This window comes from Homo sapiens, chromosome 3, assembly GCF_000001405.40.
Source record: "Homo sapiens chromosome 3, GRCh38.p14 Primary Assembly".
In the NCBI taxonomy this organism is placed as follows: Eukaryota; Metazoa; Chordata; class Mammalia; order Primates; family Hominidae; genus Homo; species Homo sapiens.
This window is the reverse complement of record NC_000003.12, coordinates 55,374,124-55,395,774: the sequence shown is the minus strand read 5'-3', so window position 1 is coordinate 55,395,774 and position 21,651 is coordinate 55,374,124.

The following is a 21,651-nucleotide window of genomic DNA, read 5'->3' as shown; positions in this document are numbered from 1 at the left end:
ATATTTACACTTAGTGTATGTTGCCAAATTCCTTTACAAAATGTTTGTCTTGTATAATAGTATGTAGGTGTTCCCAGTTCCCTGTGTCCTTCTCCACATCTGGTGTTTTCAGATTTCGAAGCATTTAAATAATTAGAAATGGTATAATGCAGTGCTTTTGTTTGTTTCTTTGTCTTTTAGAGACAGGGTCTTGCTCTGTTGCCCAGGCTGGAGTGCAGTGGCATGGTCATAGCTCAGTGTAACCACAAACTCCTGGGCTCAAGCAATCCTCCTCCATCAACCTCCCCAGTAGTGGGGACTACAGATGTGTACCACTATGCTGAGTTAATAAAAAAAAATTTTTTGTAGAGATGGGGTCTTGCCATGTTGCCCAGGCTGGTCTTGAACTCCTGGCCTCAAGTGATCCTCCTGCCTCAGCCTCCCAAGTGCTGGGACTATAGCTATGAACCACCATGCTCGGCCATGATGCAGTTTTAATTTGCATTTTCTTGTTATTAATGAAGATGAAAGCAGATTCTCACATTTTTTGGTCATTCAGGTACTTTCTTCTGTGATGTGCCTGCTAATTTTCATTGTTTATTTTTCTCTAAGATTATTGTTTAAATGAACTCTTTATATATTCTGGATATTCAGACTTCGTTGTCTCATGAACTACAAATATCCTTTGCTAGATTGTGGATTTCATTTTATTTTGTTTATGATGGCTCGATCCTGAAGTTATACGTTTTAATGTACTTCATTATATTTTTCTTAATGGCCTATACTTTTTGTATTATATTTTCAAAAGCTCTCCCTACTCCGATATAATAAAGACCTTATTTTATCCTTCCTTCTATGGATAGCCAGTGATTCCAGCACCCATTAATGAATGGTTCATCTTTTCCATAATATTTGAAATTCTACATCTGAAATTATTGCAAGTTCTCATGTCTCTATATAGGGTTCTTTTTTAAATTATTATTATACTTTAAGTTTTAGGGTACATGCGCACAATGTGCAGGTTTGTTACATATGTATACATGTGCCATGTTGGTGTGCTGAACCCATTAACTCGTCATTTAACATTAGGTATATCTCCTAATGCTATCCTTCCCCTTTCCCGCACCCCACAACAGGCCCCGGTGTGTGATGTCCCCCTTCCTGTGTCCATGTGCTTTCATTGTTCAATTCCCACCTATGAGTGAGAACATGCAGTGTTTGGTTTTTTGTCCTCGCAATAGTTTTCTGAGAATGATGGTTTCCAGCTTCATCCATGTCCCTACAAAGGATATGAACTCATCATTCTTTATGGCTGCATAGTATTCCATGGTCTATATGTGCCACATTTTCTTAATCCAGCCTATCATTGTTGGACATTTGGCTTGGTTCCAAGTCTTTGCTATTGTGAATAGTGCTGCAATAAACATATGAGTGCATATGTCTTTATAGCAGCATGTTTTATAATCCTTTGGGTATATACCCAGTAAGAGGATGGCTGGGTCAAATAGTATTTCTAGTTCTAGATCCCTGAGGAATCACCTCACACTGACTTCCACAATGGTTGAACTAGTTTACAGTCCCACCAACAGTGTAAAAGTGTTCCTATTTCTCCACATCCTCTCCAGCACCTGTTGTTTCCTGACTTTTTAATGATTGCCATTCTAACTGGTGTGAGATGGTATCTCATTGTGGTTTTGATTTGCATTTCTCTAATGGCCAGTGATGATGAGCATTTTTTCATGTGTCTTTTGGCTGCATAAATGTCTTCTTTTGAGAAGTGTCTGTTCATATCCTTTGTTCACTTTTTGTTGGGGTTGTTTTTTTCTTGTAAATTTGTTTGAGTTCATTGTAGATTCTGGATATTAGCCCTTTGTCAGATGAGTAGATTGCAAAAATTTTCTCCCATTCTGTAGGTTTCCTGTTCACTCTGATGGTAGTTTCTTTTGCTGTGCAGAAGCTCTTTAGTTTAATTAGATCCCATTTGTCAATTTTGGCTTTTGGTCTTTTAGACATGAAGTCCTTGCCCATGCCTATGTCCTGAATGGTATTGCCTAGGTTTTCTTCTAGGGTTTTTATGGTTTTAGGTCTAACATTTAAGTCTTTAATCCATCTTGAATTAATTTTGGTATAAGGTGTAAGGAAGGGATCCAGTTTCAGCTTTCTACATATGGCTAGCCAGTGTTCCCAGCACCATTTATTAAATAGGGAATCATTTCCCCATTGCTTGTTTTTTTCATATTTGTCAAAGATCAGATAGTTGTAGATATGCGGCCTCATTTCTCAGGGCTCTGTTCTGTTCCATTGGTCTATATGTCTGTTTTGGTGCCAGTACCATGCTGTTTTGGTTACTGTAGCCTTGTAGTATAGTTTGAAGTCAGGTAGAGTGATGCCTCCAGCTTTGTTCTTTTGGCTTAGGATTGATTTGGCAATGTGGGCTCTTTTTTGGTTCCATATGAACTTTAAAGTAGTTTTTTCCAATTCTCTGAAGAAAGTCATTGGTAGCTTGATGGGGATGGCATTGAATCTGTAAATTACCTTGGGCAGTATGGCCATTTTCACGATATTGATTCTTCCTACCCATGAGCATGGAATGTTCTTCCGTTTGTTTGTATCCTCTTTTATTTCCTTGAGCAGTGGTTTGTAGTTCTCCTTGAAGAGGTCCTTCACATCCCTTGTAAGTTGGATTCCTAGGTATTTTATTCTCTTTGAAGCAATTATGAATGGGAGTTCACTCATGATTTGGCTCTCTGTTTGTCTGTTATTGGTGTATAAGAATGCTTGTGATTTTTGCACATTGATTTTGTATCCTGAGACTTTGCTGAAGTTGCCTATCAGCTTAAGGAGATTTTGGGCTGAGACAATGGGGTTTTCTAGATATACAATCATGTCATCTGCAAACAGGGACAGTTTGACTTCTTCTTTTCCTGATTGAATACCCTTTATTTCCTTCTCCTGCCTAATTGCCCTGGCCAGAACTTCCAACACTATGTTGAATAGGAGTGGTGAGAGAGGGCATCCGTGTCTTGTGCCAGTTTTCAAAGGGAATGCTTCCAGTTTTTGCCCATTCAGTATGATATTGGCTGTGGGTTTGTCATAGATAGCTCTTATTATTTTGAGATACGTCCTATCAATACCTAATTTATTGAGAGTTTTTAGCATGAAGCGTTGTTGAATTTTGTCAAAGGCCTTTTCTGCATCTATTGAGGTAATCATGTGGTTTTTGCCGTTGTTTCTGTTTATATGCTGGATTATGTTTATTGATTTGCATATGTTGAACCAGCCTTGCATCCCAGGGATGAAGCCCACTTGATTATGGTGGATAAGCTTTTTGATGTGCTGCTGGATTCGGTTTGCCAGTATTTTATTGAGGATTTTTGCATCAATGTTCATCAGGGATATTGGTCTAAAATTCTCTTTTTTTGTTGTGTCTCTGCCAGGCTTTGGTATCAGGATGATGCTGGCCTCATAAAGTGAGTTAGGGAGGATTCCCTCTTTTTCTATTGATTGGAATAGTTTCAGAAGGAATGGTACCATCTCCTCCTTGTACCTCTCGTAGAATTCGGCTGTGAATCCATCTGGTCGTGGACTTTTTTTTGGTTGGTAAGCTATTAATTATTGCCTCAATTTCAGAGCCTGTTATTGGTCTATTCAGAGATTCAGCTTCTTCCTGGTTTAGTCCTGGGAGGGTGTATGTGTCAAGGAATTTATCCATTTCTTCTAGATTTTCTAGTTTATTTGTGTAGAGGTGTTTATAGTATTCTCTGATGGTAGTTTGTATTTCTGTGGGAGCAGTGGTGATATCCCCTTTATCATTTTTTTTTTTTGCGTCTATTTGATTCTTCTCTCTTCTCTTCTTTACTAGTCTTGCTAGCGGTCTATCAATTTTGTTGATCTTTTCAAAAAACCAGCTCCTGGATTCATTGATTTTTTGAAGGGTTTTTTGTGTCTCTATTTCCTTCAGTTCTGCTCTGATCTTAGTTATTTCTTGCCTTGCTTCTCTAGTTCTTTTAATTGTGATGTTAGGGTGTCAATTTTAGATCTTTACTGCTTTCTCTTGTGGGCATTTAGTGCTATAAGTTTCCCTCTACACACTGCTTTGAATGTGTCCCAGAGATTCTGGTATGTTGTATCTTTGTTCTGGTTGGTTTCAAAGAACATCTTTATTTCTGCCTTCATTTCATTATGTACCCAGTAGTCATTCAGGAGCAGGTTGTTCAGTTTCCATGTAGTTGAGTGGTTTTGAGTGAGTTTCTTAATCTTGAGTTCTAGTTTGATTGCACTGTTGTCTGAGAGACAGTTTGTTATAATTTCTGTTCTTTTACATTTGCTGAGGAGTGCTTTACTTCCAACTATGTAGTCAGTTTTGGAATAGGTGTGGTGTGGTGCTGAAAAGAATGTATATTCTGTTGATTTGGGGTGGAGAGTTCTGTAGATGTCTATTAGGTCTGCTTGGTGCAGAGCTGAGTTCAATTCCTGGATATCCTTGTTAACTTTCTGTCTCGTTGATCTGTCTAATATTGACAGTGGGGTGTTAAAGTCTCCCATTATTGTGTGGGAGTCTAAGTCTCTTTGTAGGTCACTAAGGACTTGCTTTATGAATCTGGGTGCTCCTGTATTGGGTGCATATATATTTAGGATAGTTAGCCCTTCTTGTTGAATTGATCCCTTTACCATTATGTAATGGCCTTCTTTGTCTCTTTTGATCTTTGTTGGTTTAAAGTCTGTTTTATCAGAGACTAGGATTGCAACCCCTGCCTTTTTTTGTTTTCCATTTGCTTGGTAGATCTTCCTCCATCCCTTTATTTTGAGCCTATGTGTGTCTCTGCACGTGAGATGGGTTTCCTGAATACAGCACACTGATGGGTCTTGACTCTTTATCCAATTTGCCAGTCTGTGTCTTTTAATTGGAGCATTTAGCCCATTTACCTGTAAGATTAATATTGTTATGTGTGAATTTGATCCTGTCATTATGATGTTAGCTGATTATTTTGCTCATTAGTTGATGCAGTTTCTTCCTAGCCTCCATGGTCTTTACACTTTGGCATGTTTTTGCAGTGGCTGGTACCGGTTGTTCCTTTCCATGTTTAGTGCTTCCTTCACGAGCCCTTTTAGGGCAGGCCTGGTGATGACAGAATCTCTCAACATTTGCTTGTCTGTAAAGTATTTTATTTCTCCTTCACTTCTGAAGCTTAGTTTGGGGATATGAAATTCTGGTTGAAAATTCTTTTCTTTAAGAATGTTGAATATTGGCCCCCACTCTCTTCTCTCTTGTAGAGTTTCTGCCAAGAGATCAGCTGTTAGTCTGATGGGCTTCCCTTTGTGGGTAACCCGACCTTTGTCTCTGGCTGCCCTTAATATTTTTTCCTTCATTTCAACTTTGGTGAATGTGACAATTATGTGTCTTGGAGTTGCTCTTCTCGAGGAGTATCTTTGTGGCGTTCTCTGTATTTCCTGAATGTGAATGTTGGCCTGCCTTGCTAGATTGGGGAAGTTCTCCTGGATAATATCCTGCAGAGTGTTTTCCAACTTGGTTCCATTCTCCTTGTCACTTTCAGGTACACCGATTAGACGTAGATTTGGTCTTTTCACATAGTCCCATATTTCTTGGTGGCTTTGTTTGTTTCTTTGTATTCTTTTTTCTCTAAACTTCTCTTCTCGTTTCATTTCATTCATTTGATCTTCCATCACTGAAACCCTTTCTTACAGTTGATCACATCGGCTACTGAGACTTGTGCATTCGTCACATATTTCTCTTGCTGTGGTTTTCAGCTCCATCAGGTCCTTTAAGGACTTCTCTGCATTGGTTATTCTAGTTAGCCATTCATCTAATTTTTTTTCAAGGTTTTTAACTTCTTTACCATGGGTTCGAACTTCCTCCTTTAGCTCAGAGTAGTTTGATCGTCTGAAGCCTTCTTCTCTCAACTCATCAAAGTCATTCTCCATCCAGCTTTGTTCCGTTGCTGGTGAGGAGCTGTGTTCCTCTGGAGGAGGAGAGGTGCTCTGATTTTTAGAGTTTCCAGTTTTTCTGCTCTGTTTTTTACCCATCTTTGTGGTTTCATCTACCTTTGGTCTTTGTTGATGGTGACATACAGATGTGGTTTTGGTGTGGATGTCCTTTCTGTTTGTTAGTTTTCCTTCTAACAGTCAGGACCCTCAGCTGCAGGTCTGTTGGAGTTTGCTGGAGGTCCACTCCAGACCCTGTTTGCCTGGATATCAGCAGCGGAGGCTGCAGAACAGCGGATATTGGTGAACAGCAAATGTTGCTGCCTGATCATTTCTCTGGAAGTTTTGTCTCAGAGGGGCACCCAGCTGTATGAGCTGTCAGTCGGCCCCTACTTGGAGGTGTCTCCCAGTTAGGCTACTTGGGGGTCAGGGACCCACTTGAGGAGGCAGTCTGTCCATTCTCAGATCTCCAGCTGCGTGCTGGGAGAACCACTACTTTCTTCAAAGCTATAAGACAGGGACATTTAAGTGTGCAGAGGTTTCTGCTGCCTTTTGTTTGGCTATGCCCTGCCCCCAGAGGTGGAGTCTACAGTGGCAGGCAGGCCTTCTTGAGCTGCAGTGGGCTCCACCCAGTTCGAGTTTCCCGGCCACTTTGTTTACCTACTGAAGCCTCGGCAATGGCGGGCACCCCTCCCCCAGCCTCTCTGCTGCCTTGCAGTTTGATCTCAGACTGCTGTGCTAGCAATAAGCAAGGCTCCGTGGGTGTAGGCCCCTCCGAGCCAGGCGCAGAATATAATCTCCTGGTGTGCCATTTGCTAAGACTGTTGGAAAAGCGCAGTATTAAGGTGCGAGTGACCCGATTTTCCAGGTGCCGTCTGTCACCCCTTTCTTTGACTAGGAAAGGGATTTCCCTGATCCCTTGTGCTTCCCGGATGAGGCGATGCCTCACCCTGCTTTGGCTCACGCTCGGTGTGCTGCACCCACTGTCCGACACTCCCCACTGAGATGAACCCGGTCCTCAGTTGGAAATGCAGAAATCACCCGTCTTCTGTGTCGCTCACGCTGGGAGCTGTAGACTGGAACTGTTCCTATTGGGCCATCTTGGCTCCACCCACTAAGTCCTAATTTATATGTATGCCACATGGATATGTATAATTTTTAAACATTTTTTCATTTTCTAATTTATATTATTACAATATTTTATATAAGTCATGAATTCTCTGAAAGTCTTTTCTTTTTAAATTTCAAAATAGCCTTGCCCGGTGGCTCACGCCTGTAATCCTAGCACTTTGGGAGGCCAAGGCAGGTGGATCACCCAAGGTCAGGAGTTCGAGACCAGCCTGGCCAACATGGTGAAACCCCATCTCTGCTAAAAAAAAAAAAAAAAAACAAAAAAAAAAAAACAAAATTTAGCCAGGTGTGATGGCAGGCACCTGTAATCCCAGCTACTTGGGAGGCTAAGGCAGGAGAACTGCTTGAACCAGGAGGCAGAGGTTTCAGTGAGCCAAGATCGCACCACTGCACTGCAGCCTTGGCAACAGAGTGAAACTCCATCTCAAAAAAAAAAAAAAATTCAAAATACATAAATGTATTTTTATTTTTCTCAATGGTATCTGAGCTAATTATGTTCTAGTCAGGCGATGTGTTCTGTAGGTATCAGCACTTTGGTATTCGTTGTTTTGTGCTTCGTTATCTATTTACCTTTCTATCTATATTGATATAATGTGTGCTTGAAAATAATCTTGGGGGCAGATGCCATATATATATATGTCTCCATTAGAACAATTTTTTACAACAATGATGCTCAAGACTACTATATACTTAAAAATTTTTATCTGCTTGATCTCCCAGCCATTTAAAGAGGTATGCTAAAATTCATACTATAATTATGGATTTTTCAATTTTTCTTTTTTCTAAGATGGAGTTTCACTCTGTCATCCAGGCTGGAGTGCAGTGGCATGATCTCGACTAACTGCAACCTCCATCTCCTGGGTTCAAGTGATTCTTCTGCTTCAGCCTCCCAAGTAACTGGGACTACAGGCACGTGCCACCACACCCAGCTAATTTTTGTATTTTTAGTAGAGATTAGGTTTCACCATGTTGGCCAGGCTGGTCTCAAACTCCTTACCTCAGGTGATCCACCTGCCTCAGCCTCCCAAAGTGGGATTTTTCAATTTCTTAATGTAATGATCAATATTTGCTTTATACATTATTCTGTTTGTTATTAAGTGCATATGTGTACAGATTTATTATAATTTGCCAGCCAATTGTTTCTTTTGTCCTCATAGTGTGACCTTATAGTCAATTTTGTGTGATATTAATAGAAATACATTAAATGTATTTGATTAATGTTTGCCTGGTATTTAATTTTACATCACTTTATGTTGAAATTTTATTTGTCCTTATAGATTAAACATTTCTATTGTAAACAGTGTATCGCTAAATTTTCTGTTTTGTAAAATCAAGACTAAAGGTCTCTGCCTTTTAATGGGCAAGTTTAATCCGTTTACATTTACTTCAGTTACAAGTACAGTTGAATTTAACATGCTCTCTCTTCACTGATTTTTATTATTGAGGTATAATTTACATAGAGTAATATAGATAAATCTTAAGTGTACCTCTGTAATCTACACTCCAAAATCAAGATATATTTGTATTACCCCAGAAAGTTTCCTCATGATCCTTTGTTAATTCTTTCTCCATCCAGAAGCAACCACTCTTCTGATTTCCATCACATAGATAAGTTTTACCTGTTCTCAAGCTTCATATAAATGAAATCCTACAGTATATACTCTATCGTGCCTGCTTCTTTTGCAAAAAATAGTATTTTTGAAATCTGTCCACATGGTTGCATGAATCAGAGTTAGATTCTTTTTCTTAGTGTGGAATATTTCATTGTATGAATATACCACAGTGTGTTAATCCCTTCTGTTCTTGATGGATAGTAGAGTTGCTTACAATTTTTGACTCTTAGAAATGAAGCCTCTATGAAAAGTTGTGTCCTAGATATTTTTGTGAACATGTATTTTCATTTCTCTCAGATAATTATCTAGGAGTAAAATCACTGGATCATATGATCAGTGGATGTTACCTCTTTATAAGTTGTTACCAAACTGTTTCTCAGAGTTGTTGCATCATTTTACATTGCCAGCAATTTCTCCACATTGTTGTTAATACTGGGTATTATCAATGTCAAGTTGCTAAAATTTCTGGAGTGGGTAGTGATACCCTTTTGTAGTTTTTTGTTTGTTTTGTTTTGTTTTTGAGACAGAGTCTTGTTCTGTCACCCAGGCTGGAGTGCAGTGGCGCGATCTTGGCTCACTGCAAGCTCCGCCTCCCGGGTTCACACCATTCTTCTGCCTCAGCCTCCCAAGTAGCTGGGACTACAGGTGCCCACCACCACGCCTGGCTAATTTTTTGTATTTTTAGTAGAGACAGGGTTTCACCATGTTAGCCAGGATGATCTTGATCTCCTGACCTTGTGATCCTCCCGCCTTGGCCTCCCAAAGTGCTGCGATTACAGGCATGAGCCACCATGCCTGGCCCCCTTTGTAGTTTTAATTTGAATTTCTTTAGTGACAAAAGATATTGATTTATGTTCTAATTGGCCTTTTATATATCTATTTTTGTGAATTATATTTTGAAGTTTTTACTCTATTGGATTGCTAATCTTACTATTATTGAATTTTATGTGTTCTTTATACTTAAACAACTTTTTTTAAGAGACAGAGTCTTGTTCTGCAAACCAGGCTAGAGTGCAGTGGCACCATCATAGCTCACTGCAGCCTGAAACTCCTGAGCTCAAGTGATCCTCTCGCCCCAGCCTTCGGAGTAGCTAGGACTGCAGGTGTGCACCATTCCACCTGGCTCTTTACTCTTTGATAGATGTATGTATTGTATTTTCCCCCAGTATATATCCTATCTTTTAATTATCTTATTGGTAACTTTGGAAGAATGGATGTTTTTGAGTTTTATGAACTCCATTTTATGAGTTATTCCCATAACTCATACTACTTTTCTCCCAGCAAAAAAATATTCACCTACTTCAAACTTGCAATAATTGTGTCCTAAATTAAAATTGATAGTTTTAGTTTTTACCTTCAGTTCTGTAGCCACTTTGTATTCATTTTTGTTTAGGTTATATGTAAGGGTTGATGCTCATTTTTTACAATAAATATATCCAATTTTTCTAGCACCATTTGTTGAAAAGACCATCCTTTATTAATTCACCCTCGCCACCTTTTGCTATACATTGATTGATCATCTATATGTATGTTTATTTCTGTTCTATTTCCATATATCTATACTTATGTCATTATCATACTGTCTTGATTACTCTTACTCTTTCAAGGAAATCTTGGGATCAGGCAGTGTAAGTCCTCTAACTTTGTTGTTTTTTAATCAAAGTTGTTTTGGATATTATTTCAAATCCTAGAATCGGCCCATCAATTTCTACAAAAAAAAAAAAAAAAAGCCCACTGGGATTTAGATTGGGATTACATTAAATCAGTTGATCAGTTTGGGAGAGAAACGATATCTTAACAATATTGAGACTTTGAATCCATGAACACAGTATTTCTCTTTACTTAGGTCTTTTCAAAATTCTTCCAAGCTATATTTTCTAGTTATCAGTATGCCAATTATCTGTATCTTTTATTTAATTTACTCACAACTGTTTTGTATTTTGTAAATAGATGGTTTTTTTTAAAAAAGAACGTTTTTTAGAATAGTTTCAGATTTATAGAAAAGTTGAAAGGATAGTACAGAGATGTCCTGTACACCCTTCACCCAGTTCATCATTTATTAACATCTTGCGTTACCATGATACATTTGTCACAACTAAGAAACCAGCATTGGTACACTACTATTAACTAAACTCCAGAGTTTATTCAGATGTCACCAGTGTTCCCACTAATGTCCCTGTGCAGTTGCAGGATCCCATCCAAGATACAATATTGCATTTAGTCATCCTGACTCTTGAGTCTCCTCTGGTCTATGGCCATTTCTCAGAACTTCCTTGTTTTTATGATCTTGACAATTTTGTGGAGTACTGGTCAGGTATTTTATAGAATACACCTCATTTGAGATTTGTTTGATGTTTTTCTCATGATTGGATTTGGGTTTTGGGGAGAAAAACCACTGAGGTAGAGTGCTATTCTCATTACGTCATCACTGTTTTTGATTTTGCCAGTTTTTGAGCTGGGAGGGGGTTGGATCGTGGTTTCAAATATTTTTTGTTTTATCTTTGAATTCAACTCTGGCAGGATTCATGAATCCTATTTTCTTGCCCCTCCTGTATTGAAGCTTTCTTGGCAAAATTTGAGGGCGTAGAAGATGGGTGAGAATTGCTGGGCTAAGTGATTTGCTTTTGCATTTAGACTCAGTTGCATCTGTCCATGTTTTCAACTAAAGCTTGGCTGATTTTTTCTCATCTGCACAAAGTATCTCTGTGTATGGTTGAAGCCCACTCCTCTGTCCGTCTGTACCCAAACTGAAGCTGAGGCTTTCTGTTCACTTATGAAGGTCTCTTTCCTTTTTGCAAGTCAGTTATTCAAGGCTTCTAACTGCTCTTTACTAGCCTTTTAGAATAGTATGATTTTTATTTTTTTCTGCTGTTTCCTTGTTGTCAACATAAGAGAAATGGTGCATCATATCCTTCTACTTAAACAGAAGTAAAAGTTATGTATATTTGGGTATTTTCTTTACCTTGTTTATTCCTTATGCTTTTTTTCTCCTTTTCTTCCTTCTGTTGGATTGTTTGATCTGTTTTCTTTACAATTTCTTAAATTTCTCCTCTAGTTGGCAAGTTATACATTTCTCTTATATAGTTTCAGGAATCAATAAATATTTGTAACAAGAATGCTTAACTTAAAATCAAAACATATGTCATGTTTTACTCATTAACTTGCTTTAATTATGTATTAGTATGGTCTCATGTTTTGTCTTACCCTTTTTTTGCTACAGAATTAATACTACTAATTATTATTTATATACTCAGTTCTTGCTTTAGATTTCCATGATTTGCTCACCATTGCTTCTTTAATCCCACTCTCTTCTATGAAGTTTAGATTCCTTTTCTCAGTGATCCACTCTTGGATAGTTCTTTCAGCAAGGGTCTCTAAATGGTAAATTTTTGCAGACTTTGTGTGAGAGTATTTTTATGTTATTATTATGGCTCTTGAATGGCAATTTAGCTGAGGAGAAAATTCTAGGCTTACTATTTACTTTTGCTCACTATTTTTAGCACATTATTCAATTTACATCTGACCTATACTGTTGTTTTTGAGAAGTTTGCTGCCAGTTAAAATGCCACCCATTAGTACATGAAATGGCCTCTGCCTACTTGCATCTAAGATTCTTCTCATTGTTTTTGTGTCCTGTAGTTTTAATGTGTGTACAATATCCTTATAAACTGAATAAATGTCATATTGTTTTAGACACCAGCATTTTATGATGTATTTTAATATCTAGGAGTTTGATAAATCTCTGCTGTAGCATTACTCTTCTTTTTAAGAATTTTTTCCATTGGGTGCCATGGCTCATGCCTGTAATCCCAGCACTTTGGGATGCCAAGGTTGGTGGATCGCTTAAGATCAGGAGTTTGAGACTAGTCTGACCAGCATGGTGAAATCCCACCTGTACTAAAAATACAAAAATTAGCCAAATGTCATGTTGCGCACCTGTAGTCCCAGCTACTTGGGAGGCTGAGGCAGGAGAATCGCTTGAACCTGGGAGGTGGAGGCTACAGTGAGCCGAGATAGCACCACTGTGCTCCAGCCTGGGCTACAGAGCGAGACTCCATCGCAAAAGAAAATAAAAAAACAAATTTTTCCTTACAAAATTCACTGATTATTTTTCAGACTAATTTCAGAACACTTTTGTCAAGTCCCTAGATAATGAGATTGTATTTACTTTTTAGATTAGTTTTGAAGAAAGTAGGTATAATATTATGTTTTCCTACACAAAAGTATATATGGTACATTTCTTAATTTATTTGTCTTTATTTGTATAAATTATATAGTTTTACTTAGCTAGGTCCTGAACGTGGCCTATAATTATGTTATATAGTTTTATAATATAATTATGTAGTTTTATTTAGGTAGTTCCTGAATATGTTGTACTGTTTATTTCTAGGTATCTTATGTTTTTAAAGTATGTTTTGCATCTGATATTTTTCTGGTTTATTTTTAATAAGACACTGCATACAATTTTATTTATTTTTATATACTTATTTTAATCCAGAGCAATTTACTTAATTATCTTCCTGGCTCTGTTAATTTTTCATTAAATATATTTTATTTTTTAAAAAACTAACTTTCGGATTCTCTTGACTTTTCAAGGCCAAGTAAAAACCTATGAAAATTAATAGCTATGCTCTTTCCTTTCCAATACTTTTAATTTAATATTGTCATCCAATTTCACTGGCTACATTGTAAAGACTGTGAAATAATAGTAATGATATCACTATCCTGTTCTTCATTTCATTGGGAATTACAGCATTTTTTTTCAAAGAGCACAGTACTGCCAGTTGATTTAAGGACATTGAAAACACACATTAAAACAAAGTCCTGCTTATTTTTAGAGTCTTTCTAATGTTGAGAAAATGCTGTTTAGTTTTAAGTGCTATTTTAAGTGGAAAATATTACAAACACAAAACTTGTGAAATGCGTGGGCACAGTTTAAGAAGGAATAACAGAATAAACCTTGAGTACCCATGTTAATTTAAAAAATTCCAATACCTTCCAAACCCTCTTTGGGCATCCCCTTGATTGCATCTCATTTCTTACCTCCATCTAAGATGACCAATACTCGGAATTGTAAATTTCTTATTCCCTTGCTTTTCTTTGTGGTTGTTCCATTATTTACAAATCCCCTAATAATTAAACCATTACTTTGAATTTGAACTTAACGTAAATCAGTTTTATTTGCATTCTTTTGTAACTTGTCTTTCATTGCATTGAGATTCATTGGTGTCAAGGCATCAGTTGCTAGCTGATTCCTTTTAACTTCTGTGTTCATGGTCCAAATGGGCCACAGTTGACCTGTTTCTTCTCCTATTGATGGACATTGTTTCCAGTTTTTCACTTTGATGAACAATCTTGCCATATCATTTTTGTAAATGTTTCCTGACACACATTTTTAAGAGTTTTCTGAGAGAGAGTTTCTTGCAAGAGTTTTTCAACCAAAGGTTGAAATTTCTGGGTCTTGGTGCTTGTGCATAGCCACGTTTACTGATTAATATCAAAATGCTTTTCAAGTGGCTATACCAATCCATATTTCCATTAACAACATAATGAGAATTCTCATTGCTCCACGTTCTTGCCTGCTTCTGGTGTGGTCAGATTTTTAAATTATTCCCCATCTGAAGTAACATCCCAATGTGATTTAAATTCACATTTATCTAATAATTAATCAAGGTTGATCAACTTTTAAGATGTTTATGGTTTATTTCCTCCCTATTAAATTCCTGTTTATGAATTTTTTCTATGGAGTTATGACTTCTGATCATGGATTTTTAAAGGAATCCCTTGTCTTTTCTGTATACTAATTCCCTGTTGGTTCTGTGTTGCAAAAATCTTCTCTGTTTGTTGTTTTTCATGAAACACTTCTCAATTTTCACGTTGTCAAAACTTTAGTCTTTTACTTTGTTGTGCTTGTATCTTATTTTAAAAATGTTTTCTTCACTCAGATAATAAAGTTATTCTCTTATATTGATTTCTAAAAATATTTTTAGACAGAATACTTTTCAACTATTGTCATTAAGGATTTTGTTTGCAGCAGTTTCGTTATAGGTTCACTTTATTGGATTATATTTTATAGAAAGCCTTTTTTGCATTTATTTACTAGGATAATCATGGTTTTTTTTCTAATTTGTTAATACAATGAATTGTATTAATTTATTTTCTATATTCAATAAATGTTACAGTTCACAGACAAACCCAAATGTCAACCTTGTGTTTCAGTAAAACCTGATGATGTTTCATTGTTTTTATATATTTCTGAATTTGGTTTGCCAATATTTTATTTACATTTTTTCATTTATGCTCATGAGTGCAATTGGCCTTTTGTACTGTTCCTGTCTTGTTTGGAATCAGCCTAATAAAAAGAATTCTCTGTAAAAGTCTGTGTAAATGTGAAATGATCTGTTCCTATCTGTTTGGTAGAACATGCCTGTAAAGCCATCTGGGTCCAGTGTTTTCTTTTCTTAACATGTTGAGCTATTAATATGATCTTAAAAACAGTGATCAGACTATTTCCACTTTTTCTCCTTTCTTGAATCAATTTTGGTAGGTTTTGTTTTTCTAGAAATTTATCCATTTTATGAAAACTTATAAGTTTATTGGCATAAAGTTATCCATAATAACCTATTAACTATTAATCTCTGCAGCACTTGTAATGTTCTCTTTCACTTGTAATATTATTTCCACATTCTCTGTTTCTACTGATTAATTTTTAACAATAATTTTCTGTGTATTATTAGTCTTTTCAAAGAACCAACTTCTAGCTTTGTTGACCTTCACTCATATGTTTTTGTTTCCTATTTTGTTGATTTTTACTTTCATTATTTCTTTCCTTTTATTCTCCTTGTTTTTCTTTTGGCATTTCCCTCCTAATTCTTTCAGTTGAATGCTTAGTTCACTAAATCAGTGAGCTTAGTTCACTAAATCAGAGGCTTTCTTATTTCTAATGAAACACTGAAAGTACAATTCCTCTGTAATACTGCATTAGCTGCCTCCTATATATTTAATTGTAAGCATTTTCTGATTTCCATGATTATTTCTTCATTGACACATTAGGTTTTTTTTAACATTTCCAAATATATGCAGTTTTTCTCTTTTTTCCCCCACATTTTCTAACTTAAGCACATATTGGTCAGAGAATATGGTGCAGAGGATATAAAGTTTATGAAGTTTTTGAGGCTCACTTTGTGGCACAATATGTGGCAAGTTTTTGTGCTTGAAAAGGATGTGTATGCTCCAATTGCTGGTTTCAGTGTTGGTTTGTTGTTTGTTTTTGAGACAGGGTTTTGCTCTGTCACCCTGGAGTGCAGTGGCATTGGCTCATCCCTTGACCTCCCCAGCTCAAGCTCTCCTCCCATCTCAGCCTCCCAAGTAGCTGGGACCGTAGGCATGCCACTACAACTGGCTAATTTTTTTATATTTTGTAGAGACAGGATCGCCCTATGTTGCCCAAGCTGGTCTTGAACTCCTGGGCTCAAGTGATCCTCCTGCCTCAGCCTCTCAAAGTGCTAGGATTAGAGGTGTGAGCCCCCATGACTGGCTCAATGTTTATGTAACCTATTAAATCAGGATTTTTAATTGTCTTTTTTGAATTATGAATGATTTATTGGTCTGCTTGATCTGTCAATTATTGAGAGAGTTACGTTAAAACAATTTCTGTTATACTGGTGGATTTGTCTACTTCTTCCATGTCTAAGTTTTTTGTTTTTTTTATATCAGCATACAATTGAGCTTTAAAAATCCAGCTCTGCCTGGAAGTTTTTGTCTTTTATTTAGAAATACCAATCCATTTGTATAAATTGTGAATCCTGATGCATTTAAGTTTATTGCTACAACCTCATTATGTGCTTTTGATTTATCTTACGTCTTCTGATTCTTCTTTTTGCCCTCTTTTGACTTCTTTTCTTTATTTCATCTTTAGTTGCTACTTCTTCAGTGGATGTATGTTCCAAGCTCATTCTTTTAGTAGTTACACTCACAGTTTTCATAAGCATACTTAGCTTAACAAAATCCAAATTTAATTAATATGGTTTTCATCCTCCTGAATAATCCACAGACTTTTGGGTGATTTCATTTCCAGATCATCCTTCTTTCATTATTATTTATTAGTTTGGTTTCAGCTGGAGTTCTTTTACTAATATAGTCCAGCATCTTTGTTTCAGCTTGTGTTATTGCTTTGCTGCATTTCATCTGATATTACTTTTATTATCACTTTATAAGATTAATATTTGTTTAGATCAGCCTACTAATTTACCCATGTCTTTACTTTTTCTTCCTTCATACATCACATTTGCATCTGGCATAATTTTTTCTTCTGCCCAACATATATCCTTTAGAATTTAGGTTTTAAGGATTATTTTGTAGGTTTCTATTTTGTGAATAAATACTCTCCATTTTTTTGTTTCTATCTTTATTTTACCATCATTGTTGAGAGTTTCACTTGGTATTAATCTCTCTAGGTTGACAGCAACTTTTCTCAGCCCTCTGAAGGTAATCCACTCCTTTGGGTATCCTTGTGGGTGAAAAGTCAGCAGCCATTCCAAAGGCTGCTCCTTTGTAGGCAATCTGTGTTTTATCACTGCCGGCTTTTAAAATGGTTTCATTTTCTTTGGTTTTCAGCAGCTTCACCATGGAGCATCTATGGTATATGCTAAATTTGAAAATTGGTAACATTATCTCTTTGATAGTACTTTCCCATTTTGTCTTTTATCACCTTCCAGAACTTGGATTAAACTTATGTTAAACCTTCTCACTCTATTTTCCATGTCTCTTAACCTGTTGTGCATATCATCCATCTCTTTATTTTTGGACTACATTTGGAATGCTTTCCTGTCTTCCATTTATTAATTCCCTCTTCAGCTCTGAGGCTCTGGCTCAAATGTGACCACATGTTGTCACCTTTGACTGTTGAGTAATGCGCTTCAATTGGAAGAAATCATAGGCCTTACCATCTAATCCCCTGTCACTCTCTAGATGGAAATCAAGCCTTTTCAGTTTTAGGCTTAGAGACAATGGATTTACTAAGAGATCCACAGACTCTGCTGGGTAATGCAATTACAACCTCAGTGCATCACATACCACATGACTTCGTGCTTATCCTACTTTTCTAATAGCCACCCGAGTATTTCTAGCCAACTCTTTTTGGTAGGTAATGCCAAGAGCCCAACTGAGTTACTACCCATATATGTACCCATAATTGGCCACGTCAGGGGATGAAATCAATAATTACAGGCTGCATGCTTTCAGCAAAGAACATAATTTTATCATAATATTGATAACAGTTCCTCACTCCACCCAATCTGACCACCAGAAAATGATTTTATCCCATGGGGAAAAGACAAGCCTTTCTGGCCCAGTATACACGCTGTTGTCTGTTTCTTCTTTCCATCCATCTTCATCAGACCCTGGAGGACTTCTTCCTCAGGCTGTTCTCCTTGCCACAGGACCCTTTTGGTGTTAAAGGGTATTAATCAGAATCTACTCAAATGAGTGGTTTATGCTACCATGAAATTTTAAACCCAGCAGATTTTCCTGAGTGATTTGCTGGTCGTAACTGCCAGAAAAGACATAAAGCAGCAGGAAGGTTCTGCTGACCCTTGTCCTGTTTTTCTTCTTTTGCTGTGTTTGGTGGAGCACTTGGTCTCTAACTGAAGCCAGTGTTGAGGGCATCCATGGAGGAAAGTATTCTGCAGTGGATGGGACTTTGAGGGTCTTTGGGGGACAGGTGTCCTCCTCAGGGTCGCTCAGCAAGTCAGGGCCAGGCCTGTCCCTCCTGGTGAACTCCTGCTAAGTGCTTGATTCTTCAGGCTGAAACCCTTGCTGAATGGGTGCTACTGATTTTGCTCTTAACTGGTCACAGATTTTGGCTGCCAGGACCCATCCCCCACTAACAGTACCCATGAGGCACCAGCCAAGTGGAGTGCCACATTCCCCTGGCCTCAGTAATTGGCTCAGGAATGCGCATATGATTCCATCAGAAGCACACTGAGACTTTTATTAGGACTGTCACTGCCTTTTCCCCACTGGACTAGAACTACTACACTGATGAGGGCAGCCATGAGAATAAAGTCTGAGAGTGAAGCCAACACAGAGGAAGTAGGGCAGATAAATTAAGAGACAACAGATCCTGGTGATGCTTTCTGAACACCTGGATCCAGCCATGCCTGAAGTCACCCTTCCTCTAAGCTTTTCAGTTTCATGACGCAGTTGAATCATGACTTAGCACAATGGTTCCCAACCTTTTTGGCACCAGAGACTGGTTTTGTGGAAGATAATTTTTCCACTGACCAGTTGGGGCAAGGGGGATGGTTCTGAGATGAAACGGTTCCACCTCAGATGATCAAGCATTAGGCATTAGATTCTCAGATGGAGCTGCAACCTAGATTCCTCACATGTACAGTTCACAATAGGGTTTGTGCTCCTGTGAGAATCTAATGCCACTGCTGATCTGACAGGGGGCAGAGCTCAGGTGGTAATGTTCCCTGGCCTGCCACCCATCTCCTGCTGTGCAGCCCAGTTCCTAACAGGCCACAGACCAGTGTCAGTCTGTTGCCCAGGGGTTGGGGACCCTTGACTTCAAGAGTCCTGATAAGTTTTGATTAAGCCATACCTGGATTCTAATGAAGGAACCCATGTGACCCCAGTTCTTAGGAAGTTTTTAGGGATTAATTGCTTAACTTTTATCTAATAATAGTATCAGCCTTAGATGATCTACAGACTTGGTGGGGCTATTCAAATATTTTCCTGTTTGGAAGATGATCCCTTGGTCTATTTAGAAAGTGTCCCATGGTAATAAAGTAACTGGAGAAAATGCTTCAAGCGAATTAAAATGAAGGGTACATTTTGAGTAGCAAGAGGTGGTTTATGTTCCTTAAATGCTATTATTCTTGGCTGGTATTAAAAAGCCCTTTCTGGGAGGAAGTCAGAAAGTTTTGGGGTGAGTATCAACCATGATAACCCTATGGATACACTCACCCCAGAAAGACTCTAATTTTACCTTAAATAAGAGAGAGAAAATTAGCAATTGTTAGTAGATGGCTCTTGACGAATAATATGAAATTTCAAAGACGGCCTCAAAATTGATGGAGAATGCCAAGGCTCTGGGAACAAAATGAACATATAATTCTTGACAGAATGTCTGTAACCCAAGCCCAGTATAGAACTCTGGGAGCTAACCTGCAGATAGAATGGGATCTCTTACTCAGAGGTTCTCAGCTTTGCCACTGTTGACACTTGAGACAGAATCATTCTCTGTCCCATTGTTTTTTTGGGTTACTTTTGGAGACAAGATCTCACTCTATTACCCAGGCTGGAGTGCAATGGTGTCATCATGGCTCACTGTAGCTCAAACTCCCGGGCTCAGGTGATCGATCCTCCTGCTTTAGCCTCCTGATTAGCTGAGACCAAAGGTGCACAACACCATGCTTGGCTAAGTTCTGTATATTTTGTAGATAAAGGGTTCTGACATGTTGCCCAGGCTGGTCTTGAACTCCTTGGCTCAAGCGTTCTGCCCACCTTGGCCTCCCAAAGTGCTGGGATCACAGGTACAAGACACTGTGCCTGGTCATTGTAGGATGTTTAGCATTATCCCTGGCTTCTACTCACTAGACAGCAGTGGCACTCCCTGCCCTGCCTGTGACAACCAAAAATGTCTCCAGACATTGTCAAATGTTCTCTGGAGGAAAATTCCCCCAATTTGAGAACAAGTGTTTTATCCAACATTCTCCTGCCTTTACTCTCCAACTGAAGCTAGATGGCAAACTAGGCCTGTACTGGCAATGCAACTCCTAGTGGGTCCTGACAGGTAGCCAGGCACGGTCCATGCTACATATTTATAGAAAGATGGTGTCATGCATCAAAAAGAATATGAGCTCGGGAAACAGGAAGAGCTGAGTTCAGATCCTAGATATAGCCAGGTGGGACATGTGGGGCAACTGCTTTATTTTACTGAGCTACAGTTTGCTCATCTGTAAAATGGGGATAATAATTCCCTAATCAAAATGGTGACTTGGACTGAGATGTGAGTTTTTAAGTGTTGAGCTCAGAGGCGGCACATAGTAAGTACTCAATAAATGGTAGGAATTTTTGTCACTGTACCCAGTGTTTAGGCATGTGGATGAGAAGAGGAGCTTCGGTGCACTGGATAGGGTAGGAAAGGGGCAGAATGCAAAGGTGGGGGGTTAAATACTCTTCTTGCCTTTTTGCATTTTATATTTTTAGGGAGATAAGATGAACACATAAGAAAATATATATTACAGGGCCGGGCACGGTGACTCACACCTGTAATCCCAGCACTTTGAGAGGCCAAGGTGGGTGGATCACTTGAGGCCAGGAGTTCGAAACCAGCCTGACCAACATAGTGAAACCCTGTCTCTACTAAAAATACAAAAATTAACCAGGCATGATGGTGCGTGTCTGTAATCCCAGCTACTCAAGAGGCTGAGGCATGAGAATCGCTTGAACCCGGGAGGCAGACGTTGCAGTGAGCCAAGATTGTGCCACTGCACTCCAGCCTGGGTGACAGAGTGAGGCTTTGTTGCCAAAAAAAAAAAAAAAAAAAAGAGAGAAAAAATAAAATATATGTTACAGGACAAGGCAATCCTTGGTGACACCTGAAGGGGAGAAATAGAATAAAACCCTCAGGGCCTAGAAGATGATGTGGCAAGTTGGAGAGTCTGAGCTTCACCTAAGGGCTCCATCAGCCACTCCTCTCCTCTAGCCTGGTGTCACCAGTGATGCTGTTACAGCCTCTGATTTTTTCAAAGAAATCTGAAAAATGGGATTTTAAAAAATATAAACTCTTCCACTTAAAAAAAGTTAGCTTCAAATTGAACAAATCTAAAAACACAGTCCCATCCAACCCAGTCATGGCTGTGGGCCAAATTCAGCCTTCAGTATGGCAATTGGTAACCCCTGACATGGGTGGTAATAGATGACTTTAGAGGAAGAGCTCACTGTGAGCCGGATGGAAGCTGGGACCTCCCAGAAG